At 36.0% G+C, this 23,380-nt stretch overlaps 1 protein-coding gene across 21 annotated transcripts in view; it reads right to left on the bottom strand.

The window, feature by feature from the left end:
• The window catches only part of NAALADL2 (N-acetylated alpha-linked acidic dipeptidase like 2), a 1,369,567-nt gene that overhangs the window by 46,610 nt on the left and 1,299,577 nt on the right, over positions 1–23,380 (bottom strand). For all 21 annotated transcript variants that reach the window (XM_017006077.3, XM_047447876.1, XM_017006075.3 and 18 more), the window contains one exon: positions 8,521–8,719. In XM_017006077.3, the coding sequence (XP_016861566.1) occupies positions 8,521–8,719 (199 nt within the window). The remainder of the gene's footprint in view (positions 1–8,520; positions 8,720–23,380) is intronic.

The raw sequence follows: 23,380 nt of genomic DNA, 5'->3' as shown, positions 1-23,380 counted from the left end.
TCTGATTCTCTTTTCCAAAGCCACACCAAATTTCCTATCCTTTTGTAAAATTTCCCTATAAACCTATCTCACCACAGTAATGCAGCAGTGTCTTTGTGTGTGTGTGTTAGAATGGGGAGGAAGGGAAACCCTTATTGCTGTTTAACTGCTATCTCATTTAAATGTGGAGAGAGAATAAAGATGAGATTTTATGGAGATGTGCCCTCTTAATGTATAAATGTGGGGTCATGTTCATATACCTTACACACATGTTATTAGTGGTGTATTAATAGAAATCCTTTGTCATTATATTTTTGTGTGGAGCAGTTTTGAAATCCCATTGCTTTCTATTTGTATACTAAAAGATTAAAATCAAAGATCTTTCTGTTTCTGTTCAGTTTAGTCCAATCACTTTAAATAAAAGAGAGGACAATAATTATTGCTCTCTCATTTTAAGACTATGTAAGCTAGTGTATGGGTGAGTGAAGAAAGGAGATAGAGACACAACAGTAGCCTCAAGGACTCATAACCTTAAACATTGGAGTAATTTTTGACAAGGCTGGAAATCTTGCTGAAATTTGCTAAAAGAATCTAGGAAGAAGCATTTTTTTAAAAGATATTAAATTTCAACCACAAAATGGTTGATGCCAAAATCTAAAATGTAGTTTAAATGTCAAAAGTTAAAACATAGGAGAATATGCCCCAGAAGACCATGATGCTTACAACAGTACTCCCCAAACACCTAAAGAAAGTGATTAGAGAGAAGTCTTTTCTACTGGAAAAAGTTTGTCATTTAGAGTCCCAAGATTTATTTTGAAAGCTAGTGCTACTTAGATATTTTATTTACTATTTATTTATTTATTTATTTATTTATTTGAGTCAGAGTCTTGCTGTGTCCCCCAGGCTGGAGTGCAGTGGCGCCATCTCGGCTCACTGCAAGCTCCGCCTCCTGGGTTCATGCCATTCTCCTGTCTCAGCTTCCCGAGTACCTGGGACTACAGGCGCCCGCCACCACGCTTGGCTAATTTTTTGTATTTTTAGTAGAGACGGGGTTTCACCGTGTTAGCCAGGATGGTCTCGGTCTCCCGACCTCGTGATCCGCCTGCCTCGGCCTTCCCAAAGTGCTGGGATTACACGCGTGCCACTGCGCCTGGCCCTTATTTACTCTTTTCTTAACTGCATATTTAATGTCTCTCCTCAAACTCTTTATTTTCTATGAAGATGTTGCAACCCCTCGATTGGCAAGCAATTAGCAAAGTTTAATAAAGGGAAGGACAATATATTGAAAATTAAACATGAAGGAAATACTTCACTGCTGTGATTCTGGGGAAAGAGAACTTGGGTCACTTAATTTTTAAATATGTCTCCCTTGGTTAATAGCGATATGGGGGAGCTTTGGAAATGAGAACATTATCAGAGTCTGAAATATTAATAATCTTTTGAGATCTATTTTAGAGATGAAAAACTGATGCTCAGAGATGCTAATTATCTTGCTGCAGATCATTTAAGAAGAAAAAGACAAATTTTCATCTCAAATCTCTTCCCACTTTTAAAAATCCCAAGTCCAGTGCTCTCCTATAATATCATTGTTATTTGGTATTCTTAATTTTGAAAGCTATTCTAATGTGGAGAAGTGAGATGCTAATCACAAAAAGCAATATTAAAACTATATCGTATGACAAATAAAAGACAATTCAACAGAGAAAAGAGAGTCTTAACAAACAATGCTGGAACAACTGGACATCTACATGCAAAAAAAAAAAAAAATCGAAACACAGACCTTATCCTTTTCATGAAAATTAACTCAGAATGGATCATAGACCTAAATGTAAAATGCTATACTATAAAACTTCTAGAAGATAATATAACAGAAAATCTGAGTGACTTTGGGTTTGACAATAACTTTTGAGGTATGACACAAAAAGCATGATTTGAATTATGATTTAATTTTCAAATTTCATTAAAATTAACAACTTCTGCTCTGCAAGAGGTACTGTTAAGAGAATGAAAAGCCATAGTCTGAGAGAAAATATTTTGTAAAACATCTACCTAATAGAGGATTGGTGTCCAAAATATAAAAATACGTCTAACAACTCAACAATAAGAAAAAAACCCTCAATTTTAAAAATGGGCGAAAGAGCTGAACAGATATCACATCAAATAAAATATATAGACGGCAAATAAGCATATGAAAAGATGCAAAACATCATATATCATTGGGGAACTGCGGATTCAAACAACAATGAAATACCAACATACCTCTATTAGAATAGCTAAAATCCAAAACACTGACAACAAATGCGGATGAAGATGTGGAGCAACTGAAAGTTTCATTGACTACTGGTGGACAAGAAAAATGATATAGCCCCTTGGAAAGACAGTTTGGCAGTTTCCTACAAAGCTAAACATAGGCTTACTACATTATCCAGCAATTGCACACTTTGGTATCTGCTGAAATAAATTGAAATGTATGTCCACAAAAAAGCCTGCACCAAAATATGTAGAGCAGCTTTATTCACAACTGCCAAAACTTGAAAGCAACAAAAATGCCCTTCAAAAATGAATACTAGTCAATGATAAAAAGAAATGAACACGGAGAAAATGCACTGCATATTGCTACATGAAAGAAGTCAATCCAACAAGGTTGCATACTGTACTATTCCAAATAGGTGACATTCTGGAAAAGGCAAAACTATGGAGACAGTAAAAAGATCAGTGGTTGCCAGAGGTTTAGTAGGGAGGAATGAATAGGTGGGGCACAAGAGATTTTTAGGGCAGTAAAACTATTCTATATGACCCTGCAACAGTGGGTACATATTATTATACATTTGTCAAAGCCCATAGAATGTACAACCTAAAGAGCAAACCCTGATATTAAACTATTCATTTTAGTTTGTATCAATATTGGCTCACCAATTTTGTATCAAGATTGGCTCATGGTAACAAATGTACCAACACACTACTGCAAGATATTAACAATTGGGATAACTGTGTCTAGGAAGAGGGGATGCTGAGGAATCATATGAGAATTCCGTACTTTCTGCTCAATTATTTTCTAAGCCTAAACCTGCTTTAAAAAATAAAGACTATCAATTTGTTTAAGAAAATCAAATTATAGTGGGAATGCACAGGTTTACCAGGGCAGACTCGTTGCTCTGCCTTTGTAGAGTAATAACTACAGGGAGCAAAAAAGGATCTAATGGCAAAACACAGATGCCCAGAGATCTCCTCTCCAGACACACCCAGTATCCAGGAGTGGTAGAGCACTGCCTACTGGAATGACAGTAAAGGAAGGAGTGAGATACAAGATTTAGAATTCTTAACAAAATGCATAATCCCCTGTCTACTCAAGAGCAACAAGTCAAATTTCACACTGCTGGATTTGATAGTACTGATATTTTGTGATGCTTTGTAATTTTCAACATACTTTCACTTACGTGGTCCCGGAACATAGATATTGTTTTGCTGGCTCCCCATTGCTGACCAAGTTCAGTACTTCCAAGGTACTTTGCAGCTTTTTCATTTATGGCATTGCAGTCTATCCTTGTGCCCTTTCCCTCTCCCCTTACTCAGAATTAGATGTCCCCTTGAAAACAGAGGCTGTGAGGCTTAATAGTCTGTAGAGCTGGAAATGACTTTAGAAATTATCTTTATCCATAGATCTTCATATAATTACATGTAGACAAATAGTGCTTTACCTAAATGGCCAGGTAAATGGGGCAGAGGGGAGGCCCTTTCCAGTACTCAATCCTGTTTTCCCACCTAAACCTAGAGGAATTCTAAAAACAACCTGCAACGAGACTCTTAGAGCCACACAATCACTAAATTAGCCAATTCTTCCTAAATATCACGTCCTAAATTGGTCCTTTGCTCTTCATTCCTGACACCAACATATCAAATCATGTTCTTTTCACCCCGTGCCTTTCCTACTCCCATAATCTTCCTAAAGGTTTCTGCTCTCTCCTGACTCCAGTGCACCCTCTCAGGAGCACTAGATAAATCCTCCTAACAACACATATTTCTACATGGCTTTTTTGTGTCCATGAAAAATGAAGCCCAAACCTCTCAACAGAGCATTTAAGGGACTCCACAACTTGATCTTACCTACCTTTCCATAACCACTAACCCAATAACCATTCAGACTACTCTACCTTTTGTACTTCACTCTCGAGCACACCACACACAACTTCTCCTTTGTGTCTTTCTTCAAACTATCCTCCTGGAAATGCACCTTAATTTAATGGGCATACTATCATTCCCTCATGCCCACATACATCTTTCACTTTCCCTATAAAGTCTTTTGTGGCTGGGCATGGTGGCTCACGCCTGTAATCCCAGCACTTTGGGAGGCTGAGGCAGGCAAATCACGAGGTCAGGAGTTTGAGACCAGCCTGACCAACATGGTGAAACCCCGTCTCTACTAAAAATACAAAAATGAGCCAGGCATGGTGGCATGCGCCTGTAATCCCAGCTACTCAGGAGGCAGAGGCAGGAGAATCGCTTGAACCCCGGAGGTGGAGGTAGTGGTGAGCCGAGATTGTGCCACTGCACTCCACCCTGGGCGACAGAGCGAGACTCCATCTCAAAAGAAAAAAAAAAAAAAAAAAGTCTTTCTTGATTACCACAAGACAATACTTTCTCTCTTCACTGAATCACAAAAGTACTTTTTGGCTGTAGTATTCATTGTGCACTTTGAATAAGTATTCTGTACCTGTATTTGATATATAATTTATGTATTTTAGCTCTTGAATTAGATGAAGCTCCTTGAAGGTAGGGATCTTATATTGCCAGTTTCCAGCAGTATTGCACAGAGCAACAGAGCAGCGTTCAATGAGGAGCCAGGTTTACATGCAACATCATAGGATTCAAAATTTTGAATCCTCTGTTTCCAGATCATTGGGAATATTATTCTACGTATTCCAAAAATAATATATTCCAGTGTTTAGTGTCACTTTTATTGAGACGATATTTTTTTGGGACATGATCTAAATACAAAATGAAGTATTTGGCTTTACACAGTAAAGTTCTGTCAAGAACTTTCTTAAAATGCAAATCATCTTTTACTTCTTTCTTGTGTATTAGATGAGAATTCTGTATGCCCAGTGGGTTAGAGAGTGAGATTCTTATGTGAATAACATCTCTAAAGACTGTTTAACATTAAAAAAAAATTGAACCCTGTTCACCAAATGTTCTTTTGTACAATGTAATTAACAATTTTATTTTTCTCTATATAATTATCATTATAAATAATCAATCTACTTTTCATTAGCTTAAACTCAAATTTTTACTTTGAATATTTCCTTCCCCATTAAGAATGTGCTTATAAGCATTGAGAGTGGAAATCCTATTGTAATTTTGAAATGTTTGCATCAATCATTTTTAGAAATGTGAATTATCTATCAAGAAAAAACATGAAGTAGGATGATTTCTTAGGTATTTTATAAATGAAGTACAAATTCGTGACAATTTTGAGATAAAGGTGAGTCCGATACGTCTAAACGAAGCTAATCTATTTACACTGCTATAGTATATATAGGTATACACACATAAATTAATATATATAAATTAATATAGTAACATAAATTAATAGAGCTAAGGAAAAGAACGGCAGACATGTATTCCTTCAATAACTATAGTAATAGCTTAGCACAATTTCAAAAGAGTGAACCAGAAACTTTCAGTCCTAAAGTTTGTTATATGAGTTAGAACATTATCACCATCGACACTTTGAGGCTTGCATAATGAGAACACAAGGTATACTGTAATTACATTACTAGCATGAATAAAATGATGTGTTTAATCATTTTTAACTCAGGGGCAGACAAATATCTACTTTTCTACTCAAAATGCATGATAAAGTAAATTGAGTTCATAAATATTTTTGAACGGATAATAAAAAGTTTACCAGATGCATAATTTAGACCATAGAGGGGTCTTCCGTATCCAGTGCAAGTGCCAAGAAAGACAAATGGGGAAAGCTTACTATATTATACAAAACTATGTTCTTTACATATAATTTGTATTAATTTCTGAATTTTTCTTTAAAGTAAATAGAATAATTTACAAAATATATTTTAAACCCCTAAGTTATCTACTTTATGACTTTTTAATAATGCTAGATTTAATAATGTGGTTTGATTTTTCTCCTCAGCAATTATTACATCTAACATCGTTACATTTATTTAATTACTTTGTTCATTCTGTTTCCCCATTCCCACCACTAGAATATACCTCATCAAGGAAGGTAACTTAAGGTGACAGCTATGTCCCTGATGCTTAAAAAAATACAAGCAGCAAACAAAGTGTCTTAACCATATCTCTTATTATAATAATGTATATTTTCCAAAGACTTATAATGCAGAATCATAATATTGGAAAATTACGTAAAGTATGGATTTTAAATGTGAATTTGAGTTTAAAACCATAAAGGAAAATTACCAAATATCGGGCTTTAAAAACATATTTTACTATAAAGGAGTCTCATTCCATCATCTCCTTCTATAAATGTAGAAATTAAGATGTTGAAAGATTAAGTGATGTGTGAGATCACAGAACTTTAGTACTAATGGGCACCTTAAACCTCACGTGGTCCAAATATTCAGGTGCTTAGGGCCACCCAGCCTATATTTTAATGTCTGCAGTGATAAGGCTTTTGCTACTTTATAAAAGTATCATATTTATTATTTTACCTTTTTCTTATATGTAATTAAGATTTCTATACCATACATCGATTCCTTAGTCCTAGTTATAACCTTTGTTTATACATAGTATGTCTAGTCCAGGGTGTATCATGAGAAGAAGCAGGAGGCAAAGAGATATTGGGGGAAGAATGGAGTAGGAGGACTGTTTGTTTAGCCCAGAACTTTCATTCTTAAAGGGCCACAAATTTGGACTTTCACACTACATAAAATTATACATACATACATACACATACACACAAACACACACATACACATATAAAAAATATATATACACAAATATATACATATGTATATTATATATACACATATACATACATTAAATATGTCATATAAATACACATATTATATATGTATATATTAAACAGAAAAGTATGTATTTGTATGTTGTGTCTCATAGAATTATCAGTTAAATAAAAACTGTTTAAATATGCCATAATCTTTTTCTAAAATTTGTAGAGATTCAGGAGGTATATGTGCAGGTTTGTTACATGGACATATTATGTAATGGTGAAGTTTGGGCTTCTAGTGTACCCATCACCCAAATAGTGAACAGTGTACCCAATATATAACAACTTTTCAACTCTCCCTCTTTTGCAGTCTCTAGTGTCTATCTCTCTCTGTATGTCCATGTGTATCTATTATTATCTCCAACTTATATGTGAGCACATGCGGTATTTGATTTTCTGTTTCAGAGTTATTTCACTTAGGATAATGGCCTCCAGCTCTATCCATGCTGCTGTGACAGACATGATTTCATTCCTTCTGATGACTGCTTAGTATTCTATAGAGTACATATACCACATTTTTTAATCCAATCACACGTTGATAGACACTCAGGTTGATTCTATGACTTCACCATTGTGACTAGTCCTGTGATAAACATATGAATGCAAGTATCTTTTTGATATAAAAAAATTGTTTTCCTTTGGGTAGATACCAAGAGATTAGCCTTTTGGGTTGAAAGGTAATTCTATTTTTAGTTGTTTGAGGAATCTCATACTGTTTTCCAAGTATATATAAAGGCTATGCTAATTTACATTCCTACCAACAGTGTATAAGCATTACTTTTTCTCTGCTTTCTCTCCATCTGTTATTTTTTCACTTTTTAATAATAATCATTCTGACTGGTGTAAGATGGTTTCTCATTGTGGTTTTAATGACGTGGTTTTATGATGATTGATGGGTACCATAATCTTTTAAACTTCATGTTTTCTTCATTTATCTTCTACTATATAAGGAACTTCAAAAACAAAACCATACTGTACTCATAGTATCCTCTGAGTCTGTATCTAATCCACCTTCCATATAATTGTTAAAATGTTTTCAGAAAGCACTCCATGTGACTCTCCAACCAAACAAGCCTAATTCCTCAGTTGTTTCAACATCGATCTAAATCCCACTTTCCCCTAAATATTAAACTTGTTGAACTCCAACATAAAATGTAGTTTCCAGGATTAAACTTATTAATCTAGATGGGATCTTTGCAGGAAAAAATAGCATGGGTCTATCCCCTGATCTGGTCAAGAAAGTGTATTTCTTTCAGTGCAACCTATAATTCCATTTGCTTTTTCATTGGCCATATCATATTTGACTCATATTGAAATTAATGTAAGAAACTTCTTACTCATTTTTTCTGTGCTGCTGCTAAGCCAAGTTTCCATTATTTTATATTTCTGCAGTTTAATTTTTCTTTGGGGGAGGGGGAAGTTCCTCAAATGAGTAACTGCTTTATAATTTCTTTTACACTACTGTTATGTTCATAGAAGGTATGTATTCTGAAAGTTAAACATAAACATTTAATGTAGGGCAAAAAGTATAATTTTTGAGACATGCATCCTACCTATAAAAACCTGGTGGTGCCTGCTTTACCAGAAAGCTTTTCTCCATGTCTTGGAGAATGTCATTCAGCATCCGGATGCGGATGGGTGCTCTCTCCTTGGGATCATTAGCAGGTCGCATCTCATCAGACTGAAAAAGTTCAGCACTCTCCCGCAGGCGTAACGCCATGGCTAACAGTTGATGAGTGTTGGGTTGATCACCTGGTGAAGATAAATGAGCCCATCTCAGAAGAGACATTCTCAAGGGAGCAAAATAAGCATTTTCCAATCAGGAATCTAAGTTATAAGCCAGACAGACCACTGAAGAAGGAAGAGGAAATTGTCATTGACAGTTCTCTCTCTCTTTTTTTTTGTCACTTGACAAAAGCAAGGGTATATGTGTTTGAATCTTACCTGTCCAAGGAAAAAGATTCAGCATCAAGTAAACTTTGAACTTTGAGAATATATTTATTTTGCCCAAAGCATTCTGTCTCAACTTGTTTTTATATTTTACTAAATTAAGTTTATCACTGCTCATAATAATAACAACAGTAAATAGGTACTGTACCGATTGCTGAAGGATTGCTATATTCCAGGCACTATGTCTTTAATATTGACCAAAACTTGCTTGTCACATACATTTCATAGAAGCTGAGAACTAAGTAAGGTCAGAAAATTGTCATAGGTTATCAAGCAAGTAAATAACAGGACAGAATTAGAAGTTTGATCTTTCTGACTCAAAAATTTATGTTCACCAGAGAGTAAACTGTATTTCAGGGAAGAAAATAAAAACCGAGTTGTGATCTTTTCTCTTGAGAACCTGAGATATGTTACTATATGTTGTCATGTGACTACTGGGTTCTTTTTTTCTTTACTAGAAATGTCCTGTAATGTGAAGTTGATATATATCTTTGACCTAAAAATACACTAAAAACTATTTTATGTAGTGTTTGCATTGTTTTGTTTTAGTTTGGAGGTTTGTGTTTGTCTTTGTTTCTTTTCCAATTGTTAGTGTAACTTACTAAAAGTCATTCTGAGAGGAATGGTGGTAGCAAAGGCTCCACAGGACATACCTTTGACTAAGAGAAAGGCAACACTAGTATAGTTGTCCGCTGAACTCTAGAGCCAGTCCACTTGAGTTTAAATCCCTGCGCTACCACTTAGTATCTATGTGATATTGGTAAAGTTATTGAGCCTCAGTGCCCTCATCTGTAAAATGAATGTAATAATAGTACCTGCTTCATAGATTTATTATGAGGATTAAATGATTAATACTTGTTCAGTATGTCCCCACAGGTAAGCAGTTCTCAGCTGATGTGATTCAAGACCTTCTTTAAAAATCACTCTCTTATCATGTCATGAGAGGGGCATTCCCTCACATCTTCTTCCAGATATCTCACCATTAGAATCAGGCTTTAAGTGAGACAACAATTACTGGTATCATTCTCAGCAGACTAGGTACAACTGGCTTCAACAAGGCTGGCATATCACTACAGAGGATCACTTCAAGTCAAGGTAATGAAGGAAAGTAGAGCTGGATAACCTAAATTGGCAGTTTTGAGAGGATGATATTGAGACAGACAGATGGTGTGAAGAATGGAGGCCTCCTGAGGCCTTCACTATGAGAAGTCCTGGGCAAAAGGGAAACATCACAAAAGGACTCTGTCTAAGTAAAGTCCAAGGGTTACCAGTTCCCGTAATACTTGGTCCTTATGAAAATGCAGATTCCCAGAACTACTGATTCTTTCTAGGGGCACAGCCAAGAATCTTCATTTCAATATGCTACTCAGATTATTCTATACATATTTAAGAAAAATTACAGAGAGGTGATATGCTAAGAAAAGGAAAACTAGGTTAGATGTATAGCTGATACGTTAAATATGTTTGTCATAGAATTGCCAACCTCTAAAATGATAATTTTTTATTCTCACCTTCATTTGATGGAGACTGTTTTACATGTCAATGTCTTTAGTGCCCAGCACCGTGTTGAAATTCAATAATTGTTTACTAAATAAGCAAAGTAGGTTCAATAAAGTATGTTTAGAAAAAAAAATCTGATAACAAATAAAATTATGTAAAGAGATAAGTAGTTTTATAAGGGCTACAAAGAGATTCATAGGTAGGATTACATGAAATGTTCTTAGAGAACATAGTCATTTTTGCTAATTTTCAATATCCCACAATCTAGTTAAAAATCGTGGTAGAAGGAGAAATAATGCTTGAGGCTAATATGTAGCTCCCTGCTCACTGAAATTAACAGTAAGAATAAAATCAATTATAGGAGTTCACAAGGTTTTGGCATTTGATGTTTTCAAAGTGCATTTCAGATTCATTAATTATCTTGTTTGATTTCACAACAAAATGAGGTTGCAAGAATGGGTATTTTAAGTCATTTAGAAAATCTAGCTCCTGAATAATTTACTCAATGCCATTTTATGAAAATAGTTTGTCCTAAATTTTGATGGTTCAGCAAAGTTAATGTATAGATAACTTCAAGGGAATATCTCTGCACAAGGAAACAATAAGATGGATACAGCACATTTAGATTATGCTGGAAAGACTGAACAACAGAAAAAACAAGTTCGACATCCTTGAGAGTCTTCCATTTAAGAAAGAAAAATCTGTTCTGATCTAAAGTACATTACAGAATTGAACACATTACTACCGAATCAAGTGAGACAAATTGTATCATTCTACCTTATTTAGCTTTAAATGAATTTATCTTTCATGGTAGTACAGATGCAGAGAACTGACAGCTTCAGGAACTGGCTAGCTCCAGAAAGGACCCTGATAGTGGAAACTAGCCACTCACAACACACTGTATGCATTACTTCAAGTGTATGAGGTTACAAATTGAAAAGTAGCTCTATTTTCAATGTTTACTCAATCATTTTGATATATAAATGATGCTCCAAAGATTTCTAGTAGCCATTTCTCTGCCAATTAGAGCTTGCTTGTTCTTTTAAATAAGACCAGAAAGAAACCTTACCTTTCCTACTTCAGCTTTTGTGACCCCAAATGATTCATCTTTTATGCTTCTTAGGATCCCTACTAGAATATCAGTTCTGTGAAGGGAGAGGTTTGTGTCTTTTATTCACTGCCATTTCCCTAGCACCTAAAAGTGCCAGTTGTACCATTTAATCAATGAATAATTAACTTATATACTTTTATCATAGCAGCTGCAATATTTTGATCCTTATCTGCCCTGTCTCTCTACTCTTTCTGATTGGAAAGAACCCTATGTAATCAGAAAATACATTTTATTTCTCTTTGTATTCCCAGATCGTAGCATAATATCTGTTTTATGGTAGTCATTTATTAATAAATTTGTTGAGTGAATGTTGAATTATGAGATGTCTTTTTTGAAATGTATTATTATATTAAACAATGTCTACAAAATCATTCAGGGAGATGTTTGGTGCATAATGAGCATCAACAAATGCTATTTCCTTCACTTTCTTACTAAAAATCCATTATAGTTGCAAAATAAAGGAAAAATATTTAAAAGAAAAGAGGCTATTGTAGGGTAATGATAAGTTAAATTAAACTAAATTGAAATAAAATATGCCCTACAAAAACCCCATAAAAACTTAAGATTATATAAAACTTTACTTAAGGCACGGTGAATTTCAGAGAAAAGAGGACAAACTGAGGCTGTTCATAGTACGGGTTTAAAAAATAATAAGTACGTTTAAACAAAGAAAATTAACTGGAAATTAGATATTTCTCTCAGAGCGAGTTAATACAACTATTTTTTAAATTATACACATGGAGTTTACACACCAAAGACTGGATATCAAAAGATAGATTACAGTATGGTTTACTTAATTACTATCAGTGTGGTCATGAATAAGTTACTTAATACTACAGGCCTTCAGCTTCCTTGGAGAAAATAATCATGTAAGTTTCTAAGTGCATAAATCACTATTTACGCAAGTTTGTATTATTAGAGCACACAAACAACACAAGTTACTACAAACCCATTTTTTAAAGGCATGGAAAAAATATTGTAACAGCTTTACTGACTTTTTTTTTCTCAGAGATGTTACTCTCTATCACTTCTTCAACCTGTGCCCCTCCAACCCAATGTATCATATTCCATATTCCTTCTCATATATACTTTAATAAGGATTTCTAATTTTATTTTGCTGTGCTTGCAAATTGGGTGCCATTTTTCCCCATGGGCTGCTATCTCAAACTTCTGAAGAACAAGGAAAGAAATAATATAAAGGATAAAGGAATTAAACGGTGAACTTTAAAAAGGATTCTTTTAGATCACTGCTCCTGGTGAAACGCTAACCATTAATAAATTTTTATAGTATGGTAGAACATGCTGATTTATTATAAATATTAAAAATCAAGCTTAATATAATACAATATAGTTGACTGTCTACTGAAACTATCTTGATATTATTTGAGACAAATGAAATTAACTTACAAATTTCAAACAAAAACAGTTTGCATTTATTCTTTTTCCCTTCATCTCAAAGTAAAATACATGTGTTCAGTAGGTATTTATTGAGTCCTTTTTTATATGTTATTCTAAAAGTACTGAGAAAGAAGCAAAGACATAGAAGATTAAATTTTTAATCTTAATAAATTCCTGATCTAGTTAGAAATGTACATATACATCTAAACACACAATAATTGTCACATGAAATAAATGCTCATGAGGATGACTGAAGAGTTCATTGTGTATAAGAATGATCTGACAAGTGTCCAGGGAAGAAGTAAACCTTGAGAGATAGATCATGAAACTGCCTAAAAATCCAGGACATCTTAAATGAGCTCTTGAAAGTTCTGGGATGTTATCTACATTAAAGCAATTGAGGGAGAGTGTTCCATTTTTAAACATTATTAATGTCTTTCCAGCCTCATCCCTTAGTCCTCACTATCGTAGAGGATAAATCTCCCTCCAATCCAAATCCTCCCATTTTTCTGGCTTGTTATGGAAAGAATGGAGCTGGATATTGTAAGAAGTATTAATATTAATTAAAGAGGAAGAAAGAAGGAAGGAGGGAGGGGTGGAGGCAGGGAGAGAAGAAGAGAGAGAGAAATGTTAGTCAATAGATATCAAAATAGATATTGAGACCTAGACAAGCCAATTTAGGAAAGACTCTAAGATGTTCTGGGGAAAACAAAAGCCTTTTGCTCAGGGAATCTTCTGCCTTCTAGCCAACGATCATCCTGTAGCATCCTGCCCTCAAGACAGTTCATGAGGCAATGTGGTGTAGCAGAGAGGTTGAGGGGATTTGGAATCTGATAGACCTAGATTCAAGCCCCAGTTCTCCCACTAATTATACATCTGGTTAAGACACAAACTCCTCTGAGGCTCAGTGTCTTAATCTCTAAATTGGACTTAATCCACAGCTCAGCTCGTTGAGCTAGAAGTAAGTTAAAATATTATAACAAATGTAAGGAACTTAACACAATATATGGAGCTTTGTGGAGTAGCCTCTAAAGTGACAAACTTCTTCCCAGAAATCTTATTCCTTCTGAACACCCTTGATACAGGATCCTAAAACACCTTCCAACAGCAGGTCACAAGCTCAAAGTCATTTTATAATGGCTTATCCATTTAAAGCTTCTAAGACTTCTGCGTAAGGCCGTTAACTACAGTAACGACTGTATCCACTGAATTTATACATGCTGTAACCTGCCGGGACCTGGGATCAGCACAAACTACATTTTACCTGAGGTATTAAATAACTTGATGTATGCTATGGATAAGTTTGTCCTCTCCAAAACTCATGTTGAAAATTAATTGTCAGTGTAATGGCATTGGAAGGTGGAGCCTTTCAGAGGCCATTAGGCCTTGGGGGCTCTGCTTTTATGGGTGGGTTTCATGCCTTTAGAAAGTGGCTTTCAGGAGTGGGTTCTCTCTCTTTGTTTTCCCCTCTTCTGCCATGTTGGAAACAGTGTTCCCCTCCTCCAAAGGATATAGCCTTCTTACAAGCAGAAACTGGGCCCTTACCAGGCACTAAACCTGCCAGCTCCTTGATCTTAGACTTCCAAACCTCCAGAACAGTGAGAAATAAATTTCTGTTCTTTATAAATTACCCAGTTTTGGGTATTCTGTTATAGCAGCACAAAATGAACTAAGACAATTAGTTTCAACTTAGCATAAACTCTTGGGTATTAACTTTGTTCCCCAATCTCCTGGAAAAATTTAAAACCTTCCCTTCTCTCCCCATCATCCTCCCCCTCCTCCCCCTACCCCCTCTCCCTCCCCTTCCCCTCCCCTCCCTTCCCCTCCTCTCCCTTCTCCTCCCCTCCCTTCCCCTCCCCTCCCTTCCCCTCCGCTCCCTTCTCCTCCCCTCCCTTCCCCTTTCTTTCCTGATGGGTCTGGCTCTGTTGCCCAGTCTGGAGTACAGTAGTACAATCAAAGCTCACTGCAGGGATGACCTCCTGAGCTCAAGAGATCCTTCTACCTCAGCCTTCCAAGTATCTACAGCCAAAGGCTTGCACAACCATGTCCAGCTAATTTTTAAAGTTTTCTTTCAGAGATGGAATCTTGCTCTTTTGTCCAGGTTCATCTTGAACTCCTAGCCTCAAGTGATCCTCCTGCCTCAGCATCCTATAGTGGTGGGGTTACAGATATGAGCCACCATGCCCAGTCTATAATTTTCCTATTCTAAGGAGTGATTTTACTGCTTATCATTATGATCTCTTTGGACTTTCCTACTCCAACAAGTTTTAAATTTTAGTTTACTTCAATTTTTCTGTGTTTTTTGTGGCTGTATTTTTAAAGGCGTATTCAATTTTATTTTAAATTAAAAGTGAAATGTACTGGTCATCCTCTAAAACAACATTTTTATATCAAACAAATGTAAGCTTTTTCTTTAATAGTATTTCCCAGAACCTATTATCCTATGGATGAGCTTACCACAGTTTTAAAGGTGCTAACAATTGCACAATCATAGCTTAGACTTCACTGATTTATAGTGACAAGAAAAAGTATGATTTATGTTCTGCATAATACAGTGGTTAAAAGAGTAGAAGATTATTTTGGGGGAAAATGTATATTACCTAATGTCATCTTAAAAACACCTTGTGGTATCACTAAAGAAAATAAAAGAAATTGCCAATATGATTTCAGCCAGGGGCAACAGTAGTCCTTTTTATCATACATTTTCTATTCTTCATGCTGCTTTTTTTAGTATGAATCACAATGAATCATCTCAGCTGGTGATTTAAAGATGTTAAACAAACAACTCAGGTAGTGAAAAAATGTGAGAGCGATTGCGCTATTGATACTCAAATAATCTAACATTGATTTGATAATGCATAGATAAAAAGATATTATTTAAGGGTGAAAAATGCCAGAAAACAATGGATAATTATAGCTAAACTGAATGAAATAGAAATCTCATTGCAAAAGATACTGAAGTGATAGGTTTAGATGGATTATACTGGTTACTTTAAAAAAAAAAGCAACAGATTTCTAAATTCTAAAGATTATCCAATAATCCAGGTAGCCACTGCAGATGCAAATCTAATAAGACTTCCAACTCACTGCATGTAGTGGGTTCCCTAAATTGTCTGTCCATTTATTTTAGAAATATAACCATGGGCTCTTTTGTGACCTATAGATGTTGTCACTGGGTTACGTTTGTGACTGCATGATCTGGCTACAGACTGCTTGGGAAATATGAGCAAAAACATTCCTGAATGAATTAAATTCAGGTGGAGTTTATTCTTATCATTCTCCTGAGGCAGAAAGTTGAAATTGTATATTTAATATCACATGTGAGTCTAATTATGTATTGGCTAAACCAGGAAACTGAAAAAGAAAAAAAAAAGGCTTAAATGAAATTGATTAATATGAAGGCAAGGGTACTTTATGTTCTGTTACAAGCCAAGATTAAAAGTATTTTTACACAAAGAAACCAACAAACATTTTTATAAGTGTGCCAGTGAGGAAACACTCATAGAATAATGGGTTATGGTACTATTCTGTCATGGGCACAGGGTTTTATCCAAAAAATACACCTTAGGGAAAAAAATGTTACAATAGAATAGGCCATTACTATGATGGAAGAGTAGGAAAAATAAGTCACTCACAGATTTCAATCAATGTAGTGTCACATATAAAATGTAGGTAACTCAGAAGAAAACTTCAAAGGAATTTGCATGAAGTACTCAGAATGGAGAAGGAAATGATGATCACAATGGGAAGCCGTGTGAATAGCACCAAATTGTGAGACAGAAGATAAACAAAAGGAAAAAAGGAACAATGTGCTTAGGATAATAATTAAGGGACATTAGGTGATAATAAATATGAGTTCAAAGAGAAATGGTGGGAAAGAAAAACTAGTTTTGAAGACATACTCTGACAATGGGGAGACAATCAGCCTTAAAGAGCCAGCTGCCTCAAATAGCTTTTTGAACTAAGTGTGGATTACCAATTCAGTATAACAACTATTTACATAGCATTTACATTGCATTTGATATTAATCTAGAGATGATCTAAAGTGTGTTAGAGGATGTGCCCAGGTTATATGCAAATACTACACCATTTTATATGAGGAACTTGAACATTCATGGATTTTGGCATTTGAGAGAGTTCCTGGAACCAATTTAATATGGTTATGTAGTCAGTCTATATAAAAATGTAATGGGGATTGAGACTAAATGTATTTTTAGGAATTTGCCCCCAATGGATGGCCAACCTCTTATTAAACTTCTCTATTAATTTGAGCAAACAAGGTAAGATACTTCTCATTGAATGCTTTAGAGTTTACGTCCTTGTCAAATGAAAAAGGTAAGTTTTAGAAATGCCAGCTCAGATCAAACTGCTAGAAATCTAACATGATACAGAATTCCCACAGGAACAAAATCTTTTATTGGAACTGTCTGGATTTTAGTCAGGCTGCCTTGGACTTCTGAGGGAGGGCCCAGGATTGAGGACCCAGTGTACTTCATTATCTACTGGCCAGGCCAGAGCTGGAATTGGTGGTAATTAAATCAAAATTGAAGACAGATGGGCTGAGAAATAGACTCAGGCAAACTGTACGGTGCTTAACTTAATTTTGCTAGTTGGGAAACTCACTTTTTAATTTTTAGAAAAAAAAAACATATTACATAGATCTCAATCATTTGCAATTGATTAAAAAAAAAAAAAAACAAACCAAGTGACACCTAAAAATTGAAACTACAAATCTAACAGGACACGGAATGCTTGCTTTAGTGTGATCATCACCTTGAAATACTATCCTTTCTTCCAAAATGAAGTGATTGACGCTAATGAATTATCAGAGCTAATGAAAAAAAAAAGAAAAAAGTCAGACCAAATTCTCATTGTCAGTTATTCAAAGAACAGGAGGAAACGCTGCCAGCAACTATTTTACATTTAGTGAGATAATCAGGAGGTGGCAATAAGACACACAGTTCAAAATTATGTTTCCTGCTGAGTCTGGCTTGCACTAAATAAATGTGTACCTAGCTAGATCAAATGAAAATTACTTTTACTTTATTTGGTCATATGAAGTCTTTACGATAATGCTATTTAAGAAATCTGATGAAGAAAAATAGCATATATTAAGCAAGAAACATCAGAATTACGCAGACATTAATTGTTTTAAAGTGCTGTTTTAGACATTAAGAAGTGGGTAAGGTGAGGAGCATCAAATTTAGTAAGATTATTATGCGCTTACTCTTTAGTCTGCTCTAAGGTTCAAGGGTAGGGTTGTATTTTATTTGTTTTTGATACCTTCCTCTGCCCCTGCAAACTAGTACCATTGCATTCTAAATGCATTTTTTGGACATACAGTTAGCAACTGTAGATTGAAAATATTTGTGGAAAAAAATGGTTTCTGTACTACTACATGCAGACTGTTTTTTCTTGTCATTATTCCCCAAGCAATTCAGTATAACAACAATTTCCATAGCATTTACATTGCATTAGGTATTATAAGTAATCTAGAGATGATCTATAGTGTGCACAAGTTATATGCAAATACTACATAATTTTATATGAAGAACTTGAACATTCATGGATTTTGGTATTTGAGAGAGTTCCTGGAACCAATTCTCCATGGATACTGAGGGACAACTGTATTCATTTTTTGTCACAAGTATTAATACATCTGAAGTATATCAGCTATCTTATCCATCACTATTTACACTATATCTCCATATACCACAAATAAATATTCATTCTCCATTATGTGCTTGGCATTGACCAAATATTAAGAGCCAAGGTTACTCAGTCAAAGTGAGCTTTCAAGAACCATCCAATAAATCAACCCAAACAAATTATTCACTGGTAAATTATCCTTCTTTCTGGTGGTTGTGAGAACGGTTGAGAATGGTCTGCTGCTACTGTAAACTAGCGTAATAAATAAACAAGATGGCTGGTTGTCAAGTGGTAAAAATTACACCGTTGAAAATGCAATTGGGTTTCAGAGACCTTCATATTTATACTGTTTGCAGTAAGGAGAAACAGTATTTTCTGGTTCAGCCTTGAAGGTCAGTTTTTTTTTTTCACTGCAATTGAGAAATTAATAGTAATCACTGTGAATTGTCATAAAAATAAGAAAAATATCAACAATTTAAGCTTGTATTAAGCAGTAAAATTATATGTTTCATTTAACACAGTACAAGAATTCTGTTTAGCTAATGAACTTATCTAGCATTGTAGCTAAAGTTAAAACTGCAATATGTATTTAGGTATTGATAAGTGGTTTCCATTATTCACACATTAGCCCTTTACTGTATTCCATTTTTAGAAGTAAGGCATAACTAAAATAGAACTGATGCCTACAATTTAGCAACTATTTGAATAATCTTTGACCATGATTATTTTAAGTCACAAAAAGTAAAATATAAAAATGTATAGTTTAAAGGTGTCAGGTTTTATTAATTTTATCAAACAGTCACACACAGGACATGGTAAAATAATATTTTTGCTTATGTTGTTTGGTTACACTTTGTTTTGCTTTGCTTGTTTTTTCTAATATGGGTACATCTCAAGTCTGGCCTCACCTTTCCCAGTGAAAGTGACAGGGAGACCCAAGGAATTTCACATCCAAAGAAAACTAAGCACATGCAACAACCAATAACCAGAGAAAGTTCTTCATCTTGGGTAGAAGTCTGATATAACTGTAAGAAGCCAAAGTACTCCTGGCTCATCCATTTGAGAACCTTGGATTTTAGGGGCAGATTCATCTAGATATAGAGGTGTCTGGCTTGGAGTGAAAATCTCCATTGAATCATTGCAGTTCTGTTTTGTTTTGTTCCTCCTGTGATGACACACGCTTAGGTATAACTATTAAAGAAAGGGTTATTAATTTCCCTGGCCTATTCTGAGAATATTTTCTTTCCCTTCTTGCTTTAGTTGAAACCTGGTTCTCCCCTAATGATATCACTTGCATTTTAGCTGTCGTAGGCAGCAGTGCTTTTTCACCCTGTGCTTTTGTACCACCAACCCTAGAAGAATAATGTGAGGTGCTTCTAGATCACCACTCATTCTTTGAAGATTTTTACCTCCTGACTCATCATTACTCACTCTTACAAAAAGCTTAATTCTTTACAATGTCAATATCCACATAGAGATACTCTCTTTTCCTTAGCCTCTTTTCTTCTAGCAACCATGTGCCACACTCTCATGGTCATACACTGGCCTGGACGCTGTCCTTACCAATGTCTGCACTCTTTCTATGATCTCGTTTTCACGAATCCAACTTGCTGACTACCACCTCCTGCCTTGTCAGCTCATGTGTTGTCAATTCTTCGATCTCACTATGACATGAAGTCTATTGGTCCTACCTCCTTTTCACTACCCTTCACTCCTTTCGTAACCTCACTTTATTCCAACCCCAGTTAAGATACTTTGGTCCATCACAATGCATTCATTACATACATCCTTCACGTACATCTGGTCCATCATAATGCATTCATTACATACATCCTTTATGTACATCCAGTTTTCTTTATCCTATGCAGTTCATTGTCCTTCTCTCAGAAAAGGTCTAGCCCTGGTTAAACCCAACTCTGCCTGTTCTATGCCTGTGATGGGGTTCAGGACACCCTATCCCAAAATATGGCACCTTGGCATTTGAGGAAGCAATAGAAGCAAGACCTTGTCTCTGACCTTCTCCTGGCCCTCTCCCCTGAAGCCTGCCATAAAAGAATTCTCTGGGCCGGGCATGGTGGCTCATGCCTGTAATCCCAGCACTTTGGGAGGCCAAGGCGGGCAGATCACCTAAGGTCAGGAGTTCAAGAAGGGCCTGGCCAACATGGTGAAACCCCATCTCTACTAAAAATACAAAAATTAGCTGGGCATGGTGGTGCATGCCTGTAATCCCATCTACTTGGGAGGCTGAGGCAGGAGAATCACTTGAACCCGGGAGGAGGAGGTTGCAGTGAGCGGAGATCGCGCAGCACCACTGCACTCCAGCCTGGGCAACAACAATGAAACTCCGTCTGAAAAAAAAAAAAAGATTTGGAATTGTCTGACCTTCCTCTGAAGTAAGACATAAAACTTTTATTCCAGAGATACCCTCCCTACACCGGGAGAAAAGAAACATCCTTGTCCTCAAAGAGATACAGACACTGAGAATAATCTGAACAGAGATCTTACTGAATTCCCCCCAACTTATTACAATTAGATCATATCTTTTTGTCTTCTAATCATACTTCTGAACTCTTCATCAAACTTAGCATAAAAATACATACATTTCCCTCTTTCTTTGGGTTTTCATTTCTGAAGGCTCCTGTGTCATGCAAAACTTACATTACATAGGGCCGGGCGCGGTGGCTCACGCCTGTAATCCCAGTACTTTGGGAGGCCAAGGCGGGCGGATCATGGGGTCAGGAGATGGAGACCATCCTGGCTAACACGGTGAAACCCCGTCTCTACTAAAAATACAAAAAATTAGCCGGGTGTGGTGGTGGGCGCCTGTAGTCCCAGCTACTCGGGAGGCTGAGGCAGGAGAATGGCGTGAACCCGGGAGGCGGAGCTTGCAGTGAGCCAAGATCGCGCCACTGCACTCCAGCCTGGGTGACAGAGCGAGACTCCGTCTCAGAAAACAAACAAACAAACAAAACAAACAAACAAAAAAACTTACATTATATAAATTCGTATGCCTTTCTCTTGTGTGAAAGGAAAATAAATCTCGGGACCTTCAAATCACTAAGCCAAAGGGGAAAGTCAAGCTGAGAACTGTGTCAGGCAAACCTGCCTCCCATTCTATTTCTATATAGTATAGCTACAAAGATTGAAAACAAGCTACATACCTCCCTGACGAGGAAATTCCTTGTGGACAAGGACAGACAGAACTTAGTCATCCCTCTGCTCACATGAGACAAATGCATATCTGATGGCTTCCCTTGCCATACTTTTTCACTAAACCAGATAAGGCATAAGCGACTATTCCTGTAAATTGTGAATTGAGTGAAAGGCTAAACAGAAACTAAAAAGACTGCAACTTTTTGTCTCTTATCTACTTATGACATGGAAGTCCCCTCCCTCCTTTGAGTGGTCCCGCCTTTCTGTAACAAACCAATGTACATATATTACATATATTAATTGATGTCTGAGTCCATGTCATGGGTGCGTCATTAACGTTGGCAAAATAAACTTTCTAAGTTGACTGAGACCTATCTTAGATATCTTGAGTTCACACTTGTTAATGTGTCTTTTGTTATAGGTGTCTCAACCATCAACCTAGTGATAAGTGAGGAAACAGCTCTTTTCTCCCCTACATTTGCATCTCCCTCTGGAGGCTGGAAAAAATCAAAAATTATGCTGAATTATCTCTTTTATAATATGTATCTCTTCTGGGTTCTTAATTCTGCCCCAAAAAAGTTATATTTTCATGGTTTTTCACTTTCTTACCCTCCTAAAAAAAAAACAGCTATTTTATGTTTTTCTAATCTAAAGAAACTTGCCAAGGAATCTCAACAGCAAATTTACCCATCTACTGTGTGTTCTGCCTCCCTTCACATTTTCATGGATGGACTACTGTGTTCCTGCTTTGGTATGAATGCTATGTCCCCCAAAATTCATGTTTAAATCTAACCCCTAAAGTGATGGTATTAGGAGGTAGGATCTTTTAGAATTGATTAGTTCGTGAGGCCAGAGCCCTAAAAAATTAAATTAGTGCCCTTTTAAAAGAAACACAAGACAGCTCCCTCAACCCTTCTACCATGTGAAGTTAATAGCAAAAAGATGGCCATCTTTGAACCGGGAAGTGAACCCTCACCAAACAGCGAAACTGCTGATGCTTTGATCTTGGATATCTCAGCCTCCAGAATTGTAAGAAATAAATTACTGTTGTTGATAAGCCATCCAGTCTATGGTATTTTGTTTTAACTGCCTGAATGGACTATGACAGTTCCTAACTAATGTGAAGTCCTCAATCCTTGTGCTTCCCCTAATTAAGAAAATCAGTCCAGCAATTCTCCCTTTACTCTCTTGTGTGAGCAAATTTTACCTCTCCACTAGATCACTGTCATCAAAATAAAAACATGCTACACTTCCTTGACTCCATACTTTTTTATCACCTATACCACTGTTACAGGAAGGGGGTCCCGATCCAGACCCCCAAGAGAGGGTTCTTGGATCTTACACAAGAAAAAATTAAGGGCGAGTCCGCAGTGCAAATCAAAAGCAAGTTTATTAAGAAAGTAAAGTGCTGAAAGAACAGCCACTCCATAGAGAGAGCAGAACATTTCCTAAAGTAAGAGGAGGAACATGTCCGCCCTAGGTACAATGCTTGTTTATATTCAGGATAAAAAAGATCATGGGGAGATGCGCTCTGCTATAAGGGTTTGTGATAAAGGATTAATTTTCTTAATTACTATATTTTGCAAGAACCAATACTGTTGTCTTTAAAGCAAAATTAGAAATGCCTTTGTTCTCAAGATATTGTGATATTA

The sequence above is a fragment of the Homo sapiens genome, chromosome 3 (genome assembly GCF_000001405.40).
Source record: "Homo sapiens chromosome 3, GRCh38.p14 Primary Assembly".
Taxonomy (NCBI): Eukaryota; Metazoa; Chordata; class Mammalia; order Primates; family Hominidae; genus Homo; species Homo sapiens.
Note: the sequence above shows the minus strand (reverse complement) of the source record. Positions and strands in the feature narration are given on the sequence as shown.